Genomic DNA, 23730 nt, shown 5'->3' with positions numbered 1-23730 from the left:
CCTGATGCAGTGCCTGACTGTAGTTCTGCAGCTCCACTGAAGAAGAGGCACTGAGGACTAGAGGCAGCCAGGGGATTGCAACTCAAAGAGGTTAGTGACCTGTTGGCTCATATCCCAGCAGGTGGCTAATGGGTGTGGGTGAGAGTTGGCTTCCAGGGCCATGTGCTTAACCATGACGACTTACTTCCCCTTTCTTCCTGTTCCTGGAATTGTAACTTCTGGTGAGCCTCAGCTATCAGGAACCATCGTTGAACCAGTGTGGACTTACACAGTGCATAGGAGTGTGTAGCATGATCTGTTTAAAACTTGAGCCTGGATTCCTACTGATCTTAATTCAAGCCATTCCAAAGTTTTTAGTAGCATGATTTGTTTTCTGATTTTCTTCCTATTTACATATTTATCTATTGAATGAATGAGTTTGGACTTCTAGGTTCAACTTTATGTATTTCAAAATTTATCTCTGTTGCTAGCTCTGTTCTATTCCCATTTAACACATGAGTTTCAGGTAATGGAGTTAGAAAATGAGACAGTGCCTTTTCTCCAGGAAAGCTCCATTGCATCTCTTTTTGCTGTGAGGCTGGAGGAGCTGCCTTCCTGAGAGGCAGAGGAACATAATGTCTTGTCCTTGACATTCAATCCCTATCCCCTTCAGACGCTGAGGCCATCCACAGAACAGACCCAGAGAATATCCAAGCAAGGTGCAGGATGCCAGCTCTGTGTCCACTTGCAGGCCCATGTGTGTAGGACCACCCACTTCCATCTGGTCTGACCTCAGAGATTAGCCTAACCCACTCCCACAAGCTGCACCCCAGTTCCTGCCCTTCCAGCCTGTCTCCTCCACCCTACCAGATGGTTCCTGGTAGCTGAGGCTCACCAGGAGGGGAAGGGAGATCTGGAAATATATATCTCTTTGCTGACTCTGTATGCTTTGTTTGTCATTCTTAGGTTTTCTAGAACCAGTTACTTCCAAATTATGTTCAATTAGGCAACAGAACTAAAGAATATGCCTCTGATCTACTTATTTCTCAGCCTGAATGCTGACTTCATAGACTTTCAAAACAAAGTAATAGGTGAGGAGCAAAGGAAGTAGTTCTGCTGACGGTTCAGGACCTGCTGTGTGGGTAGGGTGGTTCACTAGTCATCCTGAAAGGTAAGCTCTGACATGGAGACATTCAAGCATGAGCAGACTTAGTCCTCTGGAACAACAGTTTCTAACTTTTTTGGCACCAGGGACTGGTTTTGTGGAAGACGATATTTTTCCACAGACCAAAAGACGGGGAGATGGTTTGGGGAGGATTCAAGAACATAACGCTTATTGTGTACTATCATCTATTGCTATTATTATTACATTATAATATATAATGAAATAATTATACAACTCACGATAATGTAGAATCAGTGGGAGCCCTGAGCTCATTTTCCTGCAACTAGATGGTCCCATCTGGAGGTGATGGGAGACAGTGACAGAGCATCAGGTGTTAGATTCTCATAAGGAGCCCACAACCTAGATCCTTCGCATGCACAGTTCACGATAGGGTTTACGCCTCTATGAGACTCTGATGCCGCCACTGATCTGACAGGAGGCGGAACTCAGGGGGTAATGTGAGCAATGGGGAGTGGCTTTAAATAGAAATGAAGCTTCACTGGCTCACCAGCCATTCACCTCACACTGTGTGGCCCGGTTCCTAACAGGCCACCAATCAATACCGATCTGTGGCCGGGGGTTGCGGACCCCTGCTCTGGAGCGTTCGATTGGCATTGGTGCCAACCATTCACCTCAAACTTGCCTCATTTGAGATGCAAATAACATAAGTGACAAAGCCGGTTTTTAATCTGTTGGGATCACTGCTCTAAAGATGCAGTGAATGAGAATCACAATAAGAAGTAGAGAAGTGTTTGCATGTCAAATTAAAAATGACTTTTTTCCTGGATTTTCCTCATGTAATTAAAACACAAGTAAAGTTGGGTTATGAAGCTTTTAACTATTAAACTATTTGGCTAGCATAAGGATTAGCCAGAAAGGGACCGAATACTTTTTTTTTTTAGGTTTTTGAAGTGATCGTATCACCATGAGAAAAAAATCCTCACTCTTGAGGTAAATGTTATAATCGTACTTGTGATAAAAATCATTCCTGGTTTGTTCTAATCTCAATACAATCTTGGCTGTGTATTTAATATTTTAAAAGTTTTCTACAAGATTTTTTACAACAATAAAATATTAATTTTTCTCTTAAACATTATTCCAATCAGCTTGATTAATGTGATGAGAAGTGCATCGCAGGGTAACGAATGCTGTGTTATTAGCCACCAAATGCTCCACACGATGCTGCAGTCTTTCAGAAGCAAAGGGCACATTGAAATAAAATCACACTAAAAGTGTTCTTCTAGGTTTATATCCTATAATAGCAATCGCCGCCTCAATGCAAGCGTTTCTTAGGAAGGACTGACTGGCTGAGGTTAACTGCCCAGAGTACAGTTGAAGGCCACCAGTTCCTCCCCGCTACTCATTAATCCCCAGGAAATCTCCTGAATCCTGGCAGTTATTGTTCAATCCTTTATAGACGATTTTCTGAGTATTTTGAGTGCTTGTTCTCCCCAGGAACACCTACAGCTGGCCAGATTGTGTGTGTATAGAGAAGAAAACTCTTTTTCTTAAAAGTGGATTGAATTTCAACCTCCCTATAAAGACCCCTTATGGGCCAATGACTCAGAAAAAGTCACTTTAATTGCGTTTTGGCTTCTCTCCTTTCTAAGGGAACAAGAGACGAGAGAAGCCAGGGAAAGTCAGGGAGGGAAGACAGAGGAGCCCAGCCACTCACATTCTTTCTGGCTCCCAGCAATCACCCAGTCAAATGTGGGGCTGCTGGTGAGGACAAAAGGACCCGGCAGAACAGGTGCACCTGGGAGGGGGGTTCAGAGCCAAGAGACCAAGAGCCCTCCCTCAGGACAGCCGGGGAGGCCAACTGGACCCCAGACTCAACTCGGCAAATGGGGGCAACTCCAACGATCTACTTCCACAACACTGAGTAATTTCTAGCCACAGAGCCCCACGCATGCAGTTTTAGTATTATAAAAATGTGAAGACAAATTAGTCAAGTCAGGGCACTAAATAAAATTAAAAATTCTTGTCCTCTATTCAGAAAGGATTTTGTATTTTTACCTCAGCATTTAATGTTTTCTAAATCAGGTGTCTGATATTTAAAAGCTATGTAAATAAGAGAGGTTATTCTACAACTACAAATTAATTATCGTTGTCCAATGTTAACTGAACTTGCTAGGAAGATTTCATTATCGTGTATGTCTGTGTGTGTGTGAGAGAAAGAAAGAGTCTTCTGAAGTCAAAATGACCCTTTCTGTTTTATATGTTAATTATGTTAATATGCTTTATTCCAAAATCACTTTTCTACCACTTATTTGTATTCCATAAGGGAAATAATTCTTCAGTGAAAATACAGATTTATCAACTATATAGTTGAAAATTAGTATATCCCTATTCTGACTGAAGACTGTTAGATTCTCTTCCTAAGTCACTTAATATCAAAGACAAAAGACTGGATACATAGAAAAGACACATATTTTGTTTATAAATTAAAAAGAAAAAATGTGAGGACCCTGTCTCAAAGCAGCATCAGTAAGTCTTCTGAAGTCATCATCAGGAAAATCTCCCCAGTCTTCTTTTGAACAAGACAATGGAAGAAAACTTGTTCTCAAAATCAAATCCATTCCCAATTGCCCTATATCCATATACTCATTCCCTTACTTCTTGCAGTGGGCTTCCCAATGTAGATTTATGAAACATTGTCTTAAATCAGTCCAATAAAAGTCAACAAGCTGTGATGGGGCAGCTGGTGGGAAAGTCTAGCTCCGTATTTCCATGAGGAGTTTAAGGTGCATTGTGATGTGGTAAACACAAAGGGAATAATGAGAATTGCCTTTTAAACAGGGTGGAGTTTGGGGAAATTTCTTTTCATTGTTTCCTAATTTGACAATGTCCATACAAGCAAAATTACAGTATTGGGCAAAGCAAGTTTCATTATTTCTACATTTTAGACATTCACAGAAATACATAGCAATTCAGCCAAGCAAAAATAGTGTTGGGTCCGGTCTTTATGTGCTTTGGTATTGGCATGGCTTTAACCACAAAATGCTTCAAACAGAGCCCTGAGCCAAAAATGTGGGTTGGAGGAAGTGTTCTTACACCATCGGCCTTTATGACTTCTAATTCAGAGGGAAGCAAACCGTTTAGCTCAACTGAACTTCCTTTCCGTAAAATGACTCCAAATTCCAGAGCATGAGAAGGAGAAATACTGTCTGTGGCTGACTTCGGCCTTACACATGATCACCCTCTCCCTGAAGGCTGTTGGACGACTTGCTAAATGCAGCAAATCCTGTTGAAACCTGCAAAGTTGTTATAAAAACAGATGGACCAGGACTTCCACAATAACTGTTTGGATGGGCAGGTATATAGTTAATTATTATGTTTTTGCTCACCTTTTCAGAATTCATAAACTCTGTTTCAAGGTCAGAGGATGGTTTTGCTGTATTTTTAACAGGTCATTTATTCCTAAAATGTTTTGGGGCTGGGTTTTGTTTTATTGGTTTCTTTGTTTTTGTTTTTTTTTAATAGCTATGTATCTCTACAGGGAAAACCAATAGCCCAGTTTGAAGGAGATGACATGTGACCAAATGTTTATTTTTCTTAACATTTTTATTTTTTTACCTTTCAAATTATTGGTATATGTTAAACACTCTGCTAAGAACTTTATGTATGTTATCTTTTTAAATTTTTACAGTAATTTTACGAAGTGGATATTTCATGACCATTCTCATTTTATACACTGGAAGTCAGAAAATTTTTAAACCTTTGCTGAATCTCTTTATCTTATTTATTGCAAAATTTTGCAACTGAAATGTGTTTTTGCGAGGATTGACTCAGCAAACAAAATGAGATTTGTATTTCCCTCCCTGTAGCCATATTCACTCAAAGGACTTTTTTAAAGCACTGTATCAGATATTCATTACCTTGTCATTTTCTTTAGTTTTCTTTTTTTTTTACTTTTATTTTTTATTTAATTTTTCTTTTTTTATTTTATTATTATTATACTTTACGTTTTAGGGTACATGTGCACAATGTGCAGGTTAGTTACATATGTATACATGTGCCATGCTGGTGTGCTGCACCCATTAACTCGTCATTTAGCATTAGGTATATCTCCTAATGCTATTAATTTCATGAAACAAGAAGCCACATCTCAAAGACCAAATTACAAACCTCAGGTAACTAACTGTACCCTAATAATATTTCACCTTGAAGAGAATCTTATAGAGTTAAGGAAGAGGGTGGCTACCCCCATTTTCACGGAAGCAAACTCCTCTAAACCACCAGAGCTTTGTAATGACAGGTTGAAATTATGATGGTTTTCCTTTTTACACTAGTGTAGAACTAACTAGGAAATTTTTAACTAGAAAATTCAAATAATCAATGTAGAAATGTTATAGGATAAATAAATTCAATCTCTGCAGTCCCCTTGGAATGTTGAAGTCTTTACATCCTTTTAAATAAAGCTTTTTTCCTCTTCTTTTCCCAAGGTCTCTTAAAAAAATGGTACCAATATCATTACATTCCTACTTTTGCCCTACATACACACATACACACACACACACACACACACACACACACATATACACACAACAGTCTCATTCTTAGAGGAAGAAATAATGAACAGGGTATTTGAATAAGCAGCTAATTAACTGCATTCAGCCTACACTACTATCAGCTTTCTATTCAGCTTAATGTATATTTCTTTACCTATGTAATCAAGAACTACACCTTGGGCTATCAACACCTCAGCCCAAATAATCAAAGCAGCTCCTGGTTAATAAAGAAACAATATGCAAGCAAAGTGAATCTATATTCTTATGAATTTATGTATGGCTCAAAGTTCTTAGATATTCTTTCTGTGAATTTCTGATTCTATCATCATTGTTAAAAATTTGTGAAATATTCATGAACAGTTTCTTATGCCAGTTTACACTATTAACACAAACATTTACTTAATAAACCTTTTATCTAAGTATAAAAGAGTCTTCATCATAAAATATAACAAAGTAGCACATGTGGCAGAATCACAGGAAACATGTTATCTCCTAAAAGGGTATCTTTTAAAAAGTTCAAATACAGTATAACTATTAAAATGGCTGTTTCAGCCATCTGAATGTTTTCACAGGAGAAATCTGTAAATCTGTATTTGTTTTACAAATATATTTCACATTGATTACCAGATCATTATCAGTCTGGAAGGAATTGTTGTTTTTCCAAATTTCAATAAATAGGAAATGATCCTTGAGGAATAAATACATAATAAAATACAAAGCAGAATTGCCTTGTTTTCCAGCTGCAAAATTGCTAATCTGTGACCCCGGTTTACATCACCACAATTCTGAAGGGGAGAATTAGGTTATGAATGAATGTGGCTGAGAAATAGAGGTTGAAGAGAAAGGATATGACACTTCTCAATCAAGCCCAGGGTGTTATGAAAATGCATAATGTAGTGTGAGGTCCTTCCTAATAAACCAGTGACCAGTACAACTGAAATACATACACCAGGGCCCATGGTTGGAGGCCAGGCAAAATAGTCATGAAGAAATTATCTTCTTAGGTAAACATCACATTGCAGATTATATTTATGTGTTTTTACTGGAGTTGATAATAGACTAAGGTGTATGCACATTGTAAACACTCAGGATATGCAATTATTTAAACGTGACATTCTGTGCTCCAGGGAAATAGAACAGTTACGTGAAGGTAAAAATCGGGAAAATGTACTGATTTTTAAAAAGTTTAAAAAGTTTAAAACTTCACCAACTTTTGTTTTATACTAGTGTAGTACTAAGATTTTAAATTAAAAAAAATTAATGATCAAGATAGCGATGCTATAATATAACAAAATCAACCCTTGTGGTTTCAAAGTGATTCAATATCTCTGTTAGCCACACAGCATTTTAAAAGTAGAAAGATTTATTGCTTTGGGACAAACATAACAGACTGTAAACCAAGCTACCATAACAACTATAAAAACTTATCTTGCGATTCTCTACCTCTAGGCTCACCTCTGCCCAAGGAAGTTCTGAAAACCTTTCTATTCAATCAATAGACTACGTTTTGAAACATTTATCACACCTTGTGCTAAAGGTAGCTTAACTATTGCAGTGAAGTGCCTAGACAGTTGGTTTGTCTTAACTTGTAGTAATAAGAACAAAGGAAATTTTGATTCACTCGGTCGGGATGAAATGTATCCATATCATAGCAATATTAGGACCTTTTAATCGTCTTTCCATAAGAAAAGATTAAAATGCCTTAGTTATGGGAGATTAAATGCTCATTCAGTAATTGCAATGGACAGTATGCTTTCAGAGTGGGAGAATTAAATTAAAAGAAAGACAACTCTGGAAAATGTACTAGTGGTAGAATTAGAGAATGTTTCATCAGATCCTGATGCCTCTACAGTAATGAATCTGCCAAAAGATAATAATATTTTAGTGAAAGGTGTGATTGGATAAGTCACATTATTTATTAACTGTTACCCTAAAATATCACTTTTGTCTTATTATTAAGAATGGTTAGAGGACAGCAGGGATGCCTGACACAAGGCATTAAAAATGGATTGTGTCTATCAGAAATCCTGGAAGACGTGATCTGCCACACTCTGTGCGTGGTGATGGAACTTGCTAAGACCTGATGGCCGGGCATTCACAGCCCACAACTAGAAAGGTCTCAGTCAAGTCCCCAAGATCAGCCAGTTGTCACTTGATCTTTTTCAACGGCCTAAATAAGAACTGGTCTTTAATTTCTAATTTGCTTTTTGAAGAATTTCAAATAGATATAGGTGTTTAAGAAGATGGCTAGAGACCAGGGAAGATGAAGGTTATGACTGATAGCAAAGTGTCCTCAAGCTATCTCCAGAGGTTACTGGCATTCTTCTGCCTTTATTAGGAAATAATTATTTCCCTGTTTTCATGACCAGTTTAATTTAACTACTCATATTCATTCCCAAGGAGTGTATGTAATATGGATTATGATGTGAAAATAGATGTCACCAAAGAACAAAAGAATATACACTGCTTCAAGCAAAGCAGGCATGAAGGCTAAGGAAGCAAATGGCAATCCAGGGTCTTAGGTTTCTGAGAGCTTGGAATTAATGCCCTGAATGGTGATATTAATCATAAGTCTAAAACAGTTCTGATAAATTGATAGGCATTTAGTTGGTCACCATTAAAAAAAAAAGCTGGAGGAGAAGTAAGGAAAAATATAAGATGGAAATAGAGTGGTAAGGCCAGGCATGATGGCTCATGTCTGTAATCCCAGCACTTTGGGAGGCCGAGGTGGACAGATTACTTGTAGTCAGAAGTTTGAGACCAGCCTGATCAACATGGTGAAACACAGTCTCTACTACAAATACAAAAATTAGCTAGGTACAGGTGAGCACCTGTAATATCAGCTACTCAAGAGGCTGAGGCAGGAGAATTGCTTGAACCCTGGAGGCGGAGGTTGCAGTGAGCTGAGATCGTGCCACTGCGCTCCAGCCAGGGTGACAGAGCAGAACTCCATCCACAAAAAAGAAGGAAGGAAGAAAGGAAGGAAGGGAGGGAGGGAGGGAGGGAGGGACTGAGGGGAGGGGGGAGGGAGGGGAGGGGGGAGGGAGGGAGGCAGAGAAGAAGGGAGGGAGGAGGGGAGGGGAAGGGAGGGGAGGGGAGAAGGAAGGGAGGGGAAGGGAAGGGAAGGGAGGGAGGGGAGGGGAAGGGAGGGGAGGGGAGGGGAGGGAAGGGAGAAAGGAAAGAAAGGAGAGAGAAAGAAAGAAAGAAAAAGAGAAAGAAAGAAAGAAAGAAAGAAAGGAAAGAAAGAAGAAAGGAAGGAAAGAAGGAAAGAAAGAAAGAAAAGAAAGAAAGAAAGAAAGAAAGAAAGAGAGAAAGAGAGAAAGAAAACCAAAAAGCTAACCACCCCAGGATATCCTTTCATGAAACAAAGAGTAGACATTATACCCACAGGAGACTTTCTAAGTGTGATGCCTCTTTCTCTAAGTCTCAAGTAGGGTTAATGTTAGCAGGAGAGAAACAGGTCCTTATGTACTGGGAAAATGATCTAAATTCTCAGTACATTTCTGTTTATACTCTTTGTGGATAATATAAACTTAAAAGTGAAACAAAACCTAAGGGATAGCAAGAAAGAAACCCCCTCCTAAGGTGAGCCCACACACAGGCAGGAACAGAGCTATGCTTGCTCCAGCTGTGCTAGCACACTGCTAGGACTGCTGAGACACTGCACAACGTCCACAACAGCACCCCGGTCAGGCTTCCTGAAACTGTTCGCATCAGAGTTTTGTCACTTTTCTTACAAAGACTTTGAAATGCAGCTCTAGCCCTCTTGGGTCAATAGAGCATATTTATTAATAGCATATCATTATTCTGGTTTTAGTTTTCTTCTTACTGATCATAATTTTACAATCTGGCCCATAACCTTGCCTACTAAATCCCTGCATATATAAAGTGCCAAATATTATTAAATAAAACTTTTTATTTAATTACACTATATTTACAAAATCCCACCGAAAGTCCACAATAGTGAAAAATTCAGTAAGTTAACTGATTATTTCATATAAAACAAACCCGCAAAAGTTAGCCTTCTTCCCCTAACACCCATGCAATGACTTGGCTTTTTGTTGAGTTGCCTGACTTAGTTGTTTCCTAACACATTCTGCTTCCAGATCAGGTGTTCCCAATATTTTCTACATAAAAGTCCAATTTAATGATTATCCATGCCCCACATTCTTTCAAAAAGTTTGTCTACCAAACTGCCTTTATGAGGAAATAATTATTTCCCTGATTTTTGTTTTTTAAAATGGCAGCAATTGAAATTGCTACAAAACAGTTAATAGCAATGGGAATCAGATGAAAGCAGCTTCTCCAACACTGAGCACAAGGTCAGCTACATACTTTCTAGGGCCTAGGGTAAAATGACAACATGAAGCCTTGTTTCAAACAGCAGGAAAAAAAAAAAAGCTTTTTTTTTTTCTTGTACCTTTCTTCTGAGCTATCATGGTATTTTTAAATTGTTATTTAATGTGGTATTGCGGGCACAGTGGTAATTGCCAGGTGAGTGTGGACGACTCTGTGTGAGGTTCATGCACCTGCTCTTGCCCCTCCCCATGCCATATCCAGACCTGTGGATGAAGTGAGAAGTCAGCAGCCTAGAACTCATTCTGGGGAGCAGGAGGCTGAAGGCAGCAAGAGGCAGTCACCAGCACACACTTGAGTCCCACCTGATTTTATTTACAAAACACAAATTCAAAGACAAAATTATAAGAAATTCAAAGTAGTGATCATAGCACCTTCAACCCCTTCTCACCCTAGGTGACCTCACGTTCCACATACCCCATCTCAGATCCTAAGTGTTAGTTTGACTTATGCAGTGATATGACTGCCATTGATGTTAGTCTCACAGTGTATTTTTTTATAAATGTATAACATTACTAAATAGACTTGTGAAATGTTGAAAGTTATTAGTTAATATTTGAATACCTTCAAGGAATCCAAAGTCCTAAAGGCCTAGGTAGAGAAAATAAAATTATCATTCCAAATATTACCACTAACTGCTAATATCTATTAGGTCCTATTTTGGGTGTCAGGCAATTGCTTTCATTGCCCCTTTAGTAGGAACCTCTATTTGACATTTCCTCATTCTTCTAGAGCAGCATCATTCAACAACATTGTCACTGGTTGAATGAGGTTATTTTGCTCCCTTGAAAGGTGGCTACTCTGAATTGAGATGTGCTAAAAAGTAGAGGGTACATACTGATTCAAAAAAAGGAATATAAAATTTCATTATATATATATGTGTATATATATACATACACACACACACACACACACATCTATAGATAGAGAGAGAGAGACAGAGACAGAGAGAGAGAGAGACAGAGTTTTGCTGTGTCACACAGGCTGGAGTCCAGTGGCATAATCTCAGCTCACTGCAATCTCTGCCTCCTGGGTTCAAGTGATTCTCATGCCTCAGCCTCCCAAGCAGCTGGGATTACAGGCACACACCACCACGCCAGGCTAATTTTTTTTTGTATTTGTAGTAGAGATGGGGTTTTGCTATGTTGGCCAGGCTGGTCTCAAACTCCTGACCTCAAATGATCTGCCCACCTCAGCCTCCCAAAGTGCTGAGATTACAGGCAGGAGCCACCACTCCCAGCCTATATATAATTTTTAAAATATTGATTACTTGTTGAAATGATCATATTTGGGATATTGATTAAATAACACATATTATTGCAGTTAGTTACATCTCTTTATTTTCATTTTTTTAAATGGTTACTTGAAAATTTTAAATTGCATGTGTGGCCCAAATCTGTGGCTCACATGATATTTTATATATTATAGAGCCGTCACCTTCTGCTGTTATTATCCCGAATACACATCCCCAAGAATAGCATAATCTATCCTTGTCCATGATGCCCTTCTGTCTTCTTTTGATTGTCCAAGATTTTGCTCTGGTTCTTGAAGGACTAAATAAATGCACCTCAAAAATAATAGAAAGAAAATTGGACTGGAATCGGGGGATCTGGAGTATGGTTCTTACTATTTCACTGAGATGGCTTGACCTCATTTTCTATAAATAAAAAATGAAATTGAACCAGATTATCACTTGGGTCCCTTCCAGCCCTAACTTGACTGTCTTTCACTGCATATGGAGAAGCACACTTCTGCAATCAGTAAAGTCACGTTGAACTTTTACTAGAAGAACTTCCAACAATACCCAACTCCCCAAAACTGACTCAGAGCTTTAAAAACTAAGAATTAGCATGTACATTAATACCACTCCTCAGATTAGCTATTAATTAGAAAGGAGGTAATGCATCTTTACAATGGAGAGATCTGTCAATCACCCTCTGGACAAGAAAGACGACGAACTGGGTGAGCATCGCGCCAGTCAGGAGTCAACCTGGCATCACGTGCCTCCCAATGTGGAGAAGAGAGCACCCCCCAAAAGAACAGGAGTAGTGCTTTCCTCAGAAAGGTTTGTCCTGCATCTAATAAGGAGGAATGTGTCACATTCAGAATGTGGTACATCCTGCAGGACGTATCAAAGCCTTCCACATCTTGAAGAGCACAGAGTAGGCTTAGGGATATGTTCAAGATTCGGAAAGAGCACAAAAATTCAGCAGTCAAATGTAATGAATGAGTCTCAATTAGATCCTGAATCAAAAAACAATTCAAATAAAAAGTTATAAAGGCACTCAATCAGACTTTAAAAAGGAGGAAATCTTGCCACTTGCAACAACACGGATAAACCTGGAGGACACTATGCTAAACGAAACAAGTCAGTTACAAAAGGACAAATACCACATGATCCCACTTAGGTGAGGAATCTAAAATAGTCAAACTCATAGTAGCAGAGAGTAGGAGGGTGGCTGCCAGGGTTTAGTGGGGAGAAGGGGATGGGGTGTTTTTGGTCAAAGCATACAAAGTTTTAGTAATTCAAGATGAATAAGTCCTAGAGATCTACTTTACAGCATAGTACTTACAGAAACAAAAAAGTTTACTGAGAAGGTGGATCTGATGTTAAGTGTTCTGATCACCAAATCGTATCAATAATAATACATAAAAAGGCCAGGAAGGATCTTGTGGAAGCGATAATATGTTTTTGGTAGAGATAGTGGTGATCGTTTCACAGATGTGTGCCTATCTCCAAACTCACCAGGTTGTATATGTTAAATATGTATGCATTTTTTGTATGTCAATTAGACCTCAATAAGTGGTTTCAAAAAAGATATTTGAGAACAACTGAGAAATTTGAGTATGGATTGTGTGTTAGATCTCATTTTTACATCAGAGACTTCCCTGAGTGTAGACATGGTGAAGTGGTTACACAGGCTAATTCTGGTAACAGTAGGGTGATATGTCATCATATCTGTGAGCTACTTATGAACAGTTTGACAAAAGAGGAGAAAGAGCGTGAGAAAGAGAATAGATATGACCACTTGCTAAGAGTTGGTGAATCTGAATCTAGCTGGGGGACATAAAGATGTTCATTGTATTATCCTTTCAACTTTTCTGTGAGTTGGAATATTTTCAAAATTAAAAAAAATTCAACTAATAAGTAATTTCTTCAAGAACATTAATAAAACTTGCATAGAATTAATATGCATTGTGTTTACCTTTGCATAACATTTCGTCATTATGGAATTATTATTTTTATAAAACAGACTGTCTTTAATTACATTGTATTTGCTCTTCTCAGTTTTTACTTCAGTCCGACAATGTCTACACTGGCTGGCACATGTATGAGCCCACTAGGGATTGCTAATGCATCATGAAAAAAAAAATCATTTGTTTTATTAAGACCAAAGTGGATGTTTCTTAAACGTACATTTATTTTAAGGATAGAACATTCTTGGGCACATTTGCCAAATGTTTGTTTTCAGGAAGTTGTCAAATATTTCTTTTAGAGGTCAATTTGCCATGGGTGATTTTTTTTCTATTTACTATCTACCCATTCCTTTCCCTACTTTTTTTAATGTTATCTTTCAACAGAATTTTTTATTCAGTTATATTTGTATAAACTCCAAATACATTATGTAGCTATTCTTTCCCTGTCTTATTGTTTATTTCACAGATAATGAAGCTAAATTGGATATAAATCAAGTCACATGAGCTAAAACTTGCCATGTCATTATGTCATTAGTATCATGCTCTATACAGAATAATTGACAGGATGTGAGTAAACATGCTACAAGGTCCATGTCATTCACAGGGTGAATGGGATTGACACCTGGACCACAGTTAGAAGTCACAGATTGTTAATCAATATGTAAAATATGCAGGCAAATTTTTGCTCGATTGGTAATCAATATGTAAAATATGCAGGCATATTTTTGCTCGAAATTCTTCTCCTAGAATCAATTCCCAACTTCTTCCCCTGGCATCAGGTCACTCAACCACTGGCTGCAGTCTCCCTATCCAGCATTACTCCCTCTTCCTCACTTCATTTAAAACACCGTCCTCTCAGATCAGTCTTTGGAACTTCCTGCTTTGCTGGGCATGCACTCTTTTCTCTCCATCAAACACTGGTCTCACTGTCCTCTCCTGCAATATCTCATCCTAAGAGATCCAGTTCAAATGACATGTTCTTTACCTTCTTATTTTGGAAGCAGCCTGTGATTGGTCTCATTTTTTCTTCCAGACCACCTACTTCCCTGTTTCATTTTCTTATATCAGCCACCCCATTCTGGTTTGTTTTTCCTATGTTCTCATCTAAATAAAGGCAGAGACCAAAACTTACTCATCTTTCCTAAAACTGCACCATACTTTACACATAGTACTTATTCATTAACTATTTGCATTTAAATATATAAAAGATGTTTATAGCTTAATTAACTCCCCTCAAAAATTTTTTTAAGCATTTTAAAAAATACATAAACCCATGGCTCCAAGAAGTTCCGTCAATCAGAGTGCTAGTTTATCAGATTAGGAAGTCTAAGCATTTGGGCAGCTGAGTTGGTCCCTAGGAATGCCTAGAAACCAGAATTCTGTAGGGCCCTATCACATGACCACTCTGATCCATCCTGGGTTCCTCCCCCAGCTACAAAACATGAGCCCTCAACACTGCATTGTCTCAGTTCTGTGAAAGCAGACACCAAGATGGTACAAGACATGCAAGAGATTTCTTAGGGAAAAAAAAAAGCATAAGAGGGGAATGAGGAGGGAGGGAACCAGACAAGGCTGAGAGGACTCACAGACCACAATGAAGCTGTGACAAAGGGAAGGAAGTTGTGATGAGACCAGAGTCACAAAGAACACCTCAGAAGGGTTTCTTCACATAACAAAATCATTTAAACCAAGGGTGTCCAATCTCTTGGCTTCCCTGGGCCACACTGGAAGAAGAATTGTTTGGAACCACACATAAAATACACTAACAATAGCTGATGAACTAAAAAAAATGTAAAAAACAACTCATAATGTTTTAAGGAAGTTTATGAATTTGTGTTGGGCTGCATTCAAAGCTGTCCTGGGCCACATGCGGCCCATGGGTCGTGGGTTGGACAAACTTGATTTAAACATTTAAACTTTTCTCAAATTGGACCAAGTAAATAATGACATGAGAAAAATAAAATATTTGTACATAAGATATTAAATCAAGCCCGGGTATAATTGTGTAACAGCATGTGATGGATAATTTTAAGTGGCAACCTGGTTAAGGTATGGTGCCCAGCTATTTGGTAAAACATCAGTCTAGATGTGGCTCTGAAGTTGGTTTGTGTGTGTGTGGCCTTTATGTAGGTTAACATTCAAATCAGTAGACTTTGAGTAAAGTAGTTTACCCCCCATAATATGGCTGAGCCTCATCCAATCAGCTGAAGAAGAAAAAGCACTGAAGTCCCCTGAGAAAGAGGGAATACATCCTATCTTATGGATTTTGTCTCTCTGGAGAACCCAGACTAATACAGTGAAAGAGAGGGTTTTATCAGAAAATGAGCCTAGAAGCTGGCAGCCAAGATGGCCAAATAGGAACAGCTCTGGTCTACAGCTCCCAGTGTGAGCGATGCAGAAGATGGGTGATTTCTGCATTTCCATCTGAGGTACTGGGTTCATCTCACTAGGGAGTGACAGACAGTGGGCACAGGACAGTGGGTGCAGCGCACCGTGCGAGAGCCGAAACAGGGCGAGGCATTGCCTGACTCAGGAAGGGCAAGGGGTCAGGGACTTCCCTTTCCTAGTCAAAGAAAGGGGTGACAGATGGCACCTGGAAAACCGGGTCACTCCCACCCTAATACTGCGCTTTTCTGACGGGCTTAAAAAACGGCACACCAGGAGATTATATCCCACACATGGCTTGGAGGGTCCTACGCCCACGGAGTCTCGCTGATTGCTAGCACAGCAGTCTGAGATCAAACTGCAAGGGGGCAGCGAGGCTGGGGGAGGGGCACGCGCCATTGCCCAGGCTCGCTTAGGTAAACAAAGCAGCCGGGAAGCTCGAACTGGGTGGAGCCCACCACAGCTCAAGGAGGCCTGCCTGCCTGTGTAGGCTCCACCTCTGGGGGCAGGGCACAGATAAACAAAAAGACAGCAGTAACCTCTGCAGACTTAAATGTCCCTGTCTGACAGCTTTGAAGAGAGCAGTGGTTCTCCCAGCATGCAGCTGGAGATCTGAGAATGGGCAGACTGCCTCCTCAAGTGGGTCCCTGACCCCTGACCCCCGAGCAGCCTAACGGGGAGGCACCCCCCAGTAGGGGCAGACTGACACCTCACACGGCCAGGTACTCCTCTGAGACAAAACTTCCAGAGGAACGATCAGACAGCAGCATTCGCGGTTCACGAAAATCCGCTGTTCTGCAGCCACTGCTGCTGATACCCAGGCAAACAGGGTCTGGAGTGGACCTCTAGCAATCTCCAACAGACCTGCAGCTGAGGGTCCTGTCTGCTAGAAGGAAAACCAACAAACAGAAAGGACATGCACACCAAAAACCCATCTGTACATCACCACCATCAAAGACCAAAAGTAGATAAAACCACAAAGATGGGGAAAAAACAGAGCAGAAAAACTGGAAACTCTAAAAAGCTGAGCGCCTCTCCTCCTCCAAAGGAATGCAGTTCCTCACCAGCAACAGAAAAAAGCTAGATGGAGAATGACTTTGACGAGTTGAGAGAAGAAGGCTTCAGACGATAAACTACTCCAAGCTACAGAAGGAAATTCAAACCAAAGGCAAAGAAGTTAAAAACTTTGAAAAAAATTTGGATGAATGTATAACTAGAATAACCAATACAGAGAAGTGCTTAAAGGAGCTGATGGAGCTGAAAGCCAAGGCTCGAGAACTATGTGAAGAATGCAGAAGCCTCAGGAGCCGATGTGATCAACTGGAAGAAAGGGTATCAGTGATGGAAGATGAAATGAATGAAATGAAGCGAGAAGGGAAGTTTAGAGAAAAAAGAATAAAAAGAAACGAACAAAGCCTCCAAGAAATATGGGACTATGTGAAAAGACCAAATCTACATCTGATTGGTGTACCTGAAAGTGACAGGGAGAATGGAACCAAATTGGAAAACACTCTGCAGGATATTATCCAGGAGAACTTCCCCAATCTAGCAAGGCAGACCAACATTCAGATTCAGGAAATACAGAGAACGCCACAAAGATACTCCTCGAGACGAGCAACTCCAAGACACATAATTGTCAGATTCACCAAAGTTGAAATGAAGGAAAATATGTTAAGGGCAGCCAGAGAGAAAGGTCGGTTACCCACAAAGGGAAGCCCATCAGACTAACAGCAGATCTCTTGGCAGAAACTCTACAAGCCAGAAGAGAGTGGGGGCCAATATTCAACATTCTTAAAGAAAAGAATTTTCAACCCAGAATTTCATATCCAGCCAAACTAAGCTTCATAAGTGAAGGAGAAATAAAATACTTTACGGACAAGCAAATGCTGAGAGATTTTGTCACCACCAGGCCTGCCCTAAAAGAGCTCCTGAAGGAAGCACTAAACATGGAAAGGAACAACCGGTACCAGTCACTGCAAAACCATGCCAAAATGTAAAGACCATCGAGGCTAGGAAGAAACTGCATCAACTAACGAGCAAAATAACCAGCTAACATCATAATGACAGGATGAAATTCACACATAACCATATTAACTTTAAATGTAAATGGACTAAATGCTCCAATTAAAAGACACAGACTGGCAAATTGGATAAAGAGTCAAGACCCATCCGTGTGCTGTATTCAGGAAACCCATCTCACGTGCAGAGACACACATAGGCTCAAAATAAAAGGATGGAGGAAGATCTACCAAGCAAATGGAAAACAAAAAAAGGCAGGGGTTGCAATCCTAGTCTCTGATAAAACAGACTTCAAGCCAACAAAGATCAAAAGAGACAAAGAAGGCCATTACATAATGGTAAGGGGATCAATTCAACAAGAAGAACTAACTATCCTAAATATATATGCACCCAATACAGGAGCACCCAGATTCATAAAGCAAGTCCTGAGTGACCTACAAAGAGACTTAGACTCCCACACAATAAGAATGGGAGACTTTAACACCCCACTGTCAACATTAGACAGATCATCGAGACAGAAAGTTAACAAGGATACCCAGGAATTGAACTCAACTCTGCACCATGCGGACCTAATAGACATCTACAGAACTCTCCACCCGAAATCAACTGAATATACATTTTTTTCAGCACCACACCACACCTATTCCAAAATTGACCACGTAGTTGGAAGTAAAGCTCTCCTCAGCAAATGTAAAAGAACAGAAATTATAACAAACTGTCTCTCAGACCACAGTGCTATCAAACCAGAACTCAGGATTAAGAAACTCACTCAAAACCGCTCAACTACATGGAAACTGAATAACCTGCTCCTGAATGACTACTGGGTGCATAACAAAATGAAGGCAGAAATAAAGATGTTCTTTGAAACCAACGAGAACAAAGACACAACATACCAGAATCTCTGGGACACATTCAAAGCAGTGAGTAGAGGGAAATTTATAGCACTAAATGCCCACAAGAGAAAGCAGAAAAGATGCAAAATTGACACCCTAGCATCACAATTAAAAGAAGTAGAAAAGCAAGAGCAAACACATTCAAAAGCTAGCAGAAGGCAAGAAATAACTAAAATAAGAGCAGAACTGAAGGAAATAGAGACACAAAAAACCCTTCAAAAAATTAATGAATCCAGGAGCTGGTTTCTTGAAAGGATCAACAAAATTGATAGACCACTAGCAAGACTAATAAAGAAGAAAAGAGAGAAGAATCAAATAGATGTAATAAAAAATGATAAAGGGGATATCACCACTGATCCCACAGAAATACAAACTACCATCAGAGAATACTACAAACACCTCTACGCAAATAAACTAGAAAATCTAGAAGAACTGGATAAATTCCTCGACACACACACCCTCCAAAGACTAAACCAGGAAGAAGTTGAATCCCTGAATAGACCAATAACAGGCTCTGAAATTGTGGCAATAATCAATAGCTTACCAACCAAAAAGAGTCCAGGACCAGATGGATCCACAGCCGAATTCTACCAGAGGTACAAGGAGGAGCTGTTACCATTCCTTCTTAAATTATTCCAATCAATAGAAAAAGAGGGAATCCTCCCTAACTCATTTTATGAGGCCAGCATCATCCTGATACCAAAGCCGGGCAGAGACACAGCCAAAAAAGAGAATTTTAGACCAATATCCTTGATGAACATTGATGCAAAAATCCTCAATAAAATACTGGCAAACCAAATCCAGCAGCACATCAAAAAGCTTATATACACCATGATCAAGTGGGCTTCATCCCTGGGATGCAAGGCTGGTTCAATATATGCAAATCAATAAATGTAATCCAGCATATAAACAGAACTAAAGACAAAAACCACATGATTATCTCAATAGATGCAGAAAAGGCCTTTGACAAAATTCAATAACCCTTCATGCTAAAAACTCTCAATAAATTAGGTATTGATGGGACGTATCTCAAAATAATAAGAGCTATCTATGACAAACCCACAGCCAATATCATACTGAATGGGCAAAAACTGGAAGCATTCCCTTTGAAAACTGGCACAAGACAGGGATGCCCTCTCTCACCACTCCTATTCAACATAGTGTTGGAAGTTCTGGCCAGGGCAATTAGGCAGGAGAAGGAAATAAAGGGTATTCAATTAGGAAAAGAGGAAGTCAAATTGTCCCTGTTTGCAGATGACATGATTGTATATCTAGAAAACCCCATCGTCTCAGCCCAAAATCTCCTTAAGCTGATAAGCAACTTCAGTAAAGTCTCAGGATACAAAATCAATGTACAAAAATCACAAGCATTCTTATACACCAATAACAGACAAACAGAGAGCCAAATCATGAGTGAAATCCCATTCACAATTGTTTCAAAGAGAATAAAATACCTAGGAATCCAACTTACAAGGGACATGAAGGACCTCTTCAAGGAGAACTACAAACCACTGCTCAATGAAATAAAAGAGGATACAAACAAATGGAAGAACATTCCATGCTCATGGCTAGGAAGAATCAATATGGTGAAAATGGCCATACTGCCCAAGGTAATTTATAGATTCAATGCCATCCTCATCAAGCTAGCAATGACTTTCTTCACAGAATCGGAAAAAACTACTTTAAAGTTCATATGGAACCAAAAAAGAGCCTGCATCGCCAAGTCAATCCTAAGCCAAAAGAACAAAGTCATAGGCATCACGCTACCTGACTTCAAACTATACTACAAGGCTATAGTCAACAAAACAGCATGGTACTGGTACCAAAACAGAGATATAGATCAATGGAACAGAACAGAGCCCTCAGAAATAACACCGCATATCTACAACTATCTGATCTTTGACAAACCTGAGAAAAACAAGCAATGGGGAAAGGATTCCCTATTTAATAAATGGTGCTGGGAAAACTGGCTAGCCATATGTAGAAAGCTGAAACTGGATCCCTTCCTTACACCTTATACAAAAATTAATTCAAGATGGATTAAAGACTTCCATGTTAGACCTAAAACCATAAAAACCCTAGAAGAAAACCTAGGCATTACCATTCAGGACATAGGCATGGACAAGGACTTCATGTCTAAAACACCAAAAGCAATGGCAACAAAAGCCAAAATTGACAAATGGGATCTAATCAAACTAAAGAGCTTCTGCAGAGCAAAAGAAACTACCATCAGAGTGAACAGGCCACCTACAGAATGGGAGAAAATTTTCGTAACCTACTCATCTGACAAAGGGCTAATATCCAGAATCTACAATGAACTCAAACAAATTTACAAGAAAAAAACAAACAACCCCATCAAAAAGTGGGCAAAGGACATGAACAGACACTTCTCAAAAGAATACATTTATGCAGCCAAAAGAGACATGAAAAAATGCTCATCATCACTGGCCATCAGAGAAATGCAAATCAAAACCACAATGAGATACCATCTCACACCAGTTAGAATGGTGATCATTAAAAAGTCAGGAAACAACAGGTGCTGGAGAGGATGTGGAGAAATAGGAACACTTTTACACTGTTGGTGGGACTGTAAACTAGTTCATCCATTGTGGAAGTCAGTGTGGCGATTCCTCAGGGATCTAGAACTAGAAATACCATTTGACCCAGCCATCCTATTACTGGGTATATACCCAAAGGATTATAAATCATGCTGCTATAAAGACACATGCACACGTATGTTTATTGCGGCATTATTCACAATAGCAAAGACTTGGAACCAACCCAAATGTCCAACAATGATAGACTGGATTAAGAAAATGTGGCACATATACACCATGGAATACTATGCAGCCATAAAAAATGATGAGTTCATGTCCTTTGTAGGGACATGGATGAAATTGGAAATCATCATTCTCAGTAAACTATCGCAGGGACAGAAAACCAAACACTGCATGTTCTCACTCATAGATGGGAATTGAACAATGAGAACACATGGACACAGGAAGGGGAACATCACACTCTGGGGACTGTTGTGGGGTGGGGGGAGTGGGGAGGGATAGCATTAGGAGATATACCTAATGCTAAATGACAAGTTAATGGGTGCAGCACACCAGCATGTCACATGTATACATATGTAACTAACCTGCACATTGTCCACATGTACCCTAAAATTTAAAGTATAATAATAATAAAAGAAAAGAAAAGAAAAAAAGAAAAGAAATAAAACAGATACATTGAAGTGGGTTTCTTATTACATCAACTTGAAGCATTTATTTAAATTTTGTCTACCCAGTATAACCAAATTGATTATTTTAATTAAACAACTTATTAAAAAATTAAAAGTTGTCCAAATGCTTGAGTTAAAAAAAAAAAAAAGAAAATGAGCCTAGTACCTAAAAGACTTCTCTTCCAAAATTGGTGTGCTGGTCTTTAAATAATCCTTATATCTTTTTTAAGTATATGTTTACATTTGTTTACTTTTATGTTACATGAGACACACTTCACAAGCAATTCACACAAAGCTCTGGGAGGTGGATACTTATTATAAGTGTGCCTGGGATTTGTTCACTGTCACAGAGCGAGCACTTTTTGAGTGTATAAAGCTTACTAATTATCACATATCTTGCTACATTACAGTTAAATTATTTAGCCATTTCTACAATGTGACTGTAACCCAGTTACAGGAAGAGGTTTGTGTACTCTCCAGTGACTCTTAGCAGGAAGCTGCCTATGCAAGTACAAAATGGGTGGAATGATGGTCTTTAGCTGATAGCAGAAATGGACAGTCGGCCTTCACCAACCCACCCTACCTTGTGTCTCATACACAGCAAGTTTTAAAGATTTCCAGGAAACATATCTTACCAACTTCCTTAGTAACTAATTCCGGAAGAAATGAAGAAATCCACCTGCAAGCTAGAAATGAAATCCGCTTGATGGCACAGAATATTCAAGTGAGTTTCTAACTCAGTTAACAATATGATAAAACCAAATATATGCACATGCAAAATTATTAAAGATTTGTTTATGTGAGACTCTGATATTTGCCATGAAAATTTCTACCATTAAAATTTGATTAAAAATATAGAAATATTTTCCCCCTTTCAAAATCAGTTTCAAGAAACCCTTGATAGAATCAGCTCATTAATTCTTGGCCCCTTTAACTAATACCACATTTGAAGTCACATGTTATAAATCAGTTTCAGTTGAGATATTAAAATCAGATTATAAGAGAAAAGCCTTGTAAATATTTGCCTCCAAATGAGTTTAAGAATAAATATATATTCAGTAATTCATCCATATTTAGCAGACATTAATAAGACAAAGCATAGCTTTAAGTTCACTTATCATTTAATACAAAGAAGGGACTAGGAAACTGCGCCTGATTTGCTTGTTTATTCTTGGGCTTGGTAATACCTTATTAAAATTTGAACTTCAAAATTGATATAATCAGTCAAATGTCAGCAGAAATATTTATTCTGTAAATGAAGCTTTAGTTAATAGAACTTTAATTTGAAGTACTTTCTATTTTCTTCTCCTCCATAAGAGAAAAGGAAAGGAAGTATACAGGAAAGTTGGATAGAAATAACACAGAGGTTTGAATTTTCCTTCAGGTCTGTGCCAACACTAGAGGTCAGCAACTTTCCAGAAATGACATGTCAAGTCTTCACTTATTGTAATTTACTTTATTTTTATTTTTTTACATTGGAAGAACCGCAGAATTTTAGGTCAAAAAACAGTCTTACTAATGTCCTAATTTGCTGTCTTTTTAGAGGTAAAGTGCTGCTGAGGTGTCAGGACTTGGCTAGTTTCACAGTTACGCTGAGATAGAAGTAAACTCAAGCCCCCATGAGCTGCATAGGGTTAGGAACCTCCACAGTTAGGAAACTCATGGCCCCCAAGAGCGACAGAAATGAGGTGTTATTAATTGTGGATAATTGTGTGGACTGATGTTGTCAGAAGGGACAGGGGAAGGAGAGAAGAGTGGTTGGAAGCTTTGACAAATCTTGGCTCCTGAAGAAGACAAGGGATGAAAAATTTATAAAATGTACCAACAGCTGAAAGGTGCCAACTTCAAAGGTCTTCTTTCTGGACCTCTTCTCCACGTGGATCCCAGGACTTGGACCCTTGCTTCATTTCTTTACAAACCCCAAATTCTTTTCAAACCCCAAATTAAATTCCCACAGAGAAAATTGCTCCAATTTCTAATTAACCTGGACTTTTACTA

General features: G+C 39.0%; 1 long non-coding RNA gene across 1 annotated transcript; it reads left to right on the top strand.

Moving 5' to 3' along the window:
- LINC01796 (long intergenic non-protein coding RNA 1796) lies at positions 1-22384 on the top strand. The gene is made up of 4 exons (NR_135562.1): positions 1-90; positions 946-1150; positions 4289-4460; positions 22143-22384. It is a non-coding gene; the product is annotated as a long intergenic non-protein coding RNA 1796 (long non-coding RNA).
- Positions 22385-23730: the final 1346 nt, after the last annotated feature.

Source organism: Homo sapiens, chromosome 2 (assembly GCF_000001405.40).
Source record: "Homo sapiens chromosome 2, GRCh38.p14 Primary Assembly".
Taxonomy (NCBI): domain Eukaryota; kingdom Metazoa; phylum Chordata; class Mammalia; order Primates; family Hominidae; genus Homo; species Homo sapiens.
This window is presented reverse-complemented; position numbering and strand designations above follow the sequence as displayed.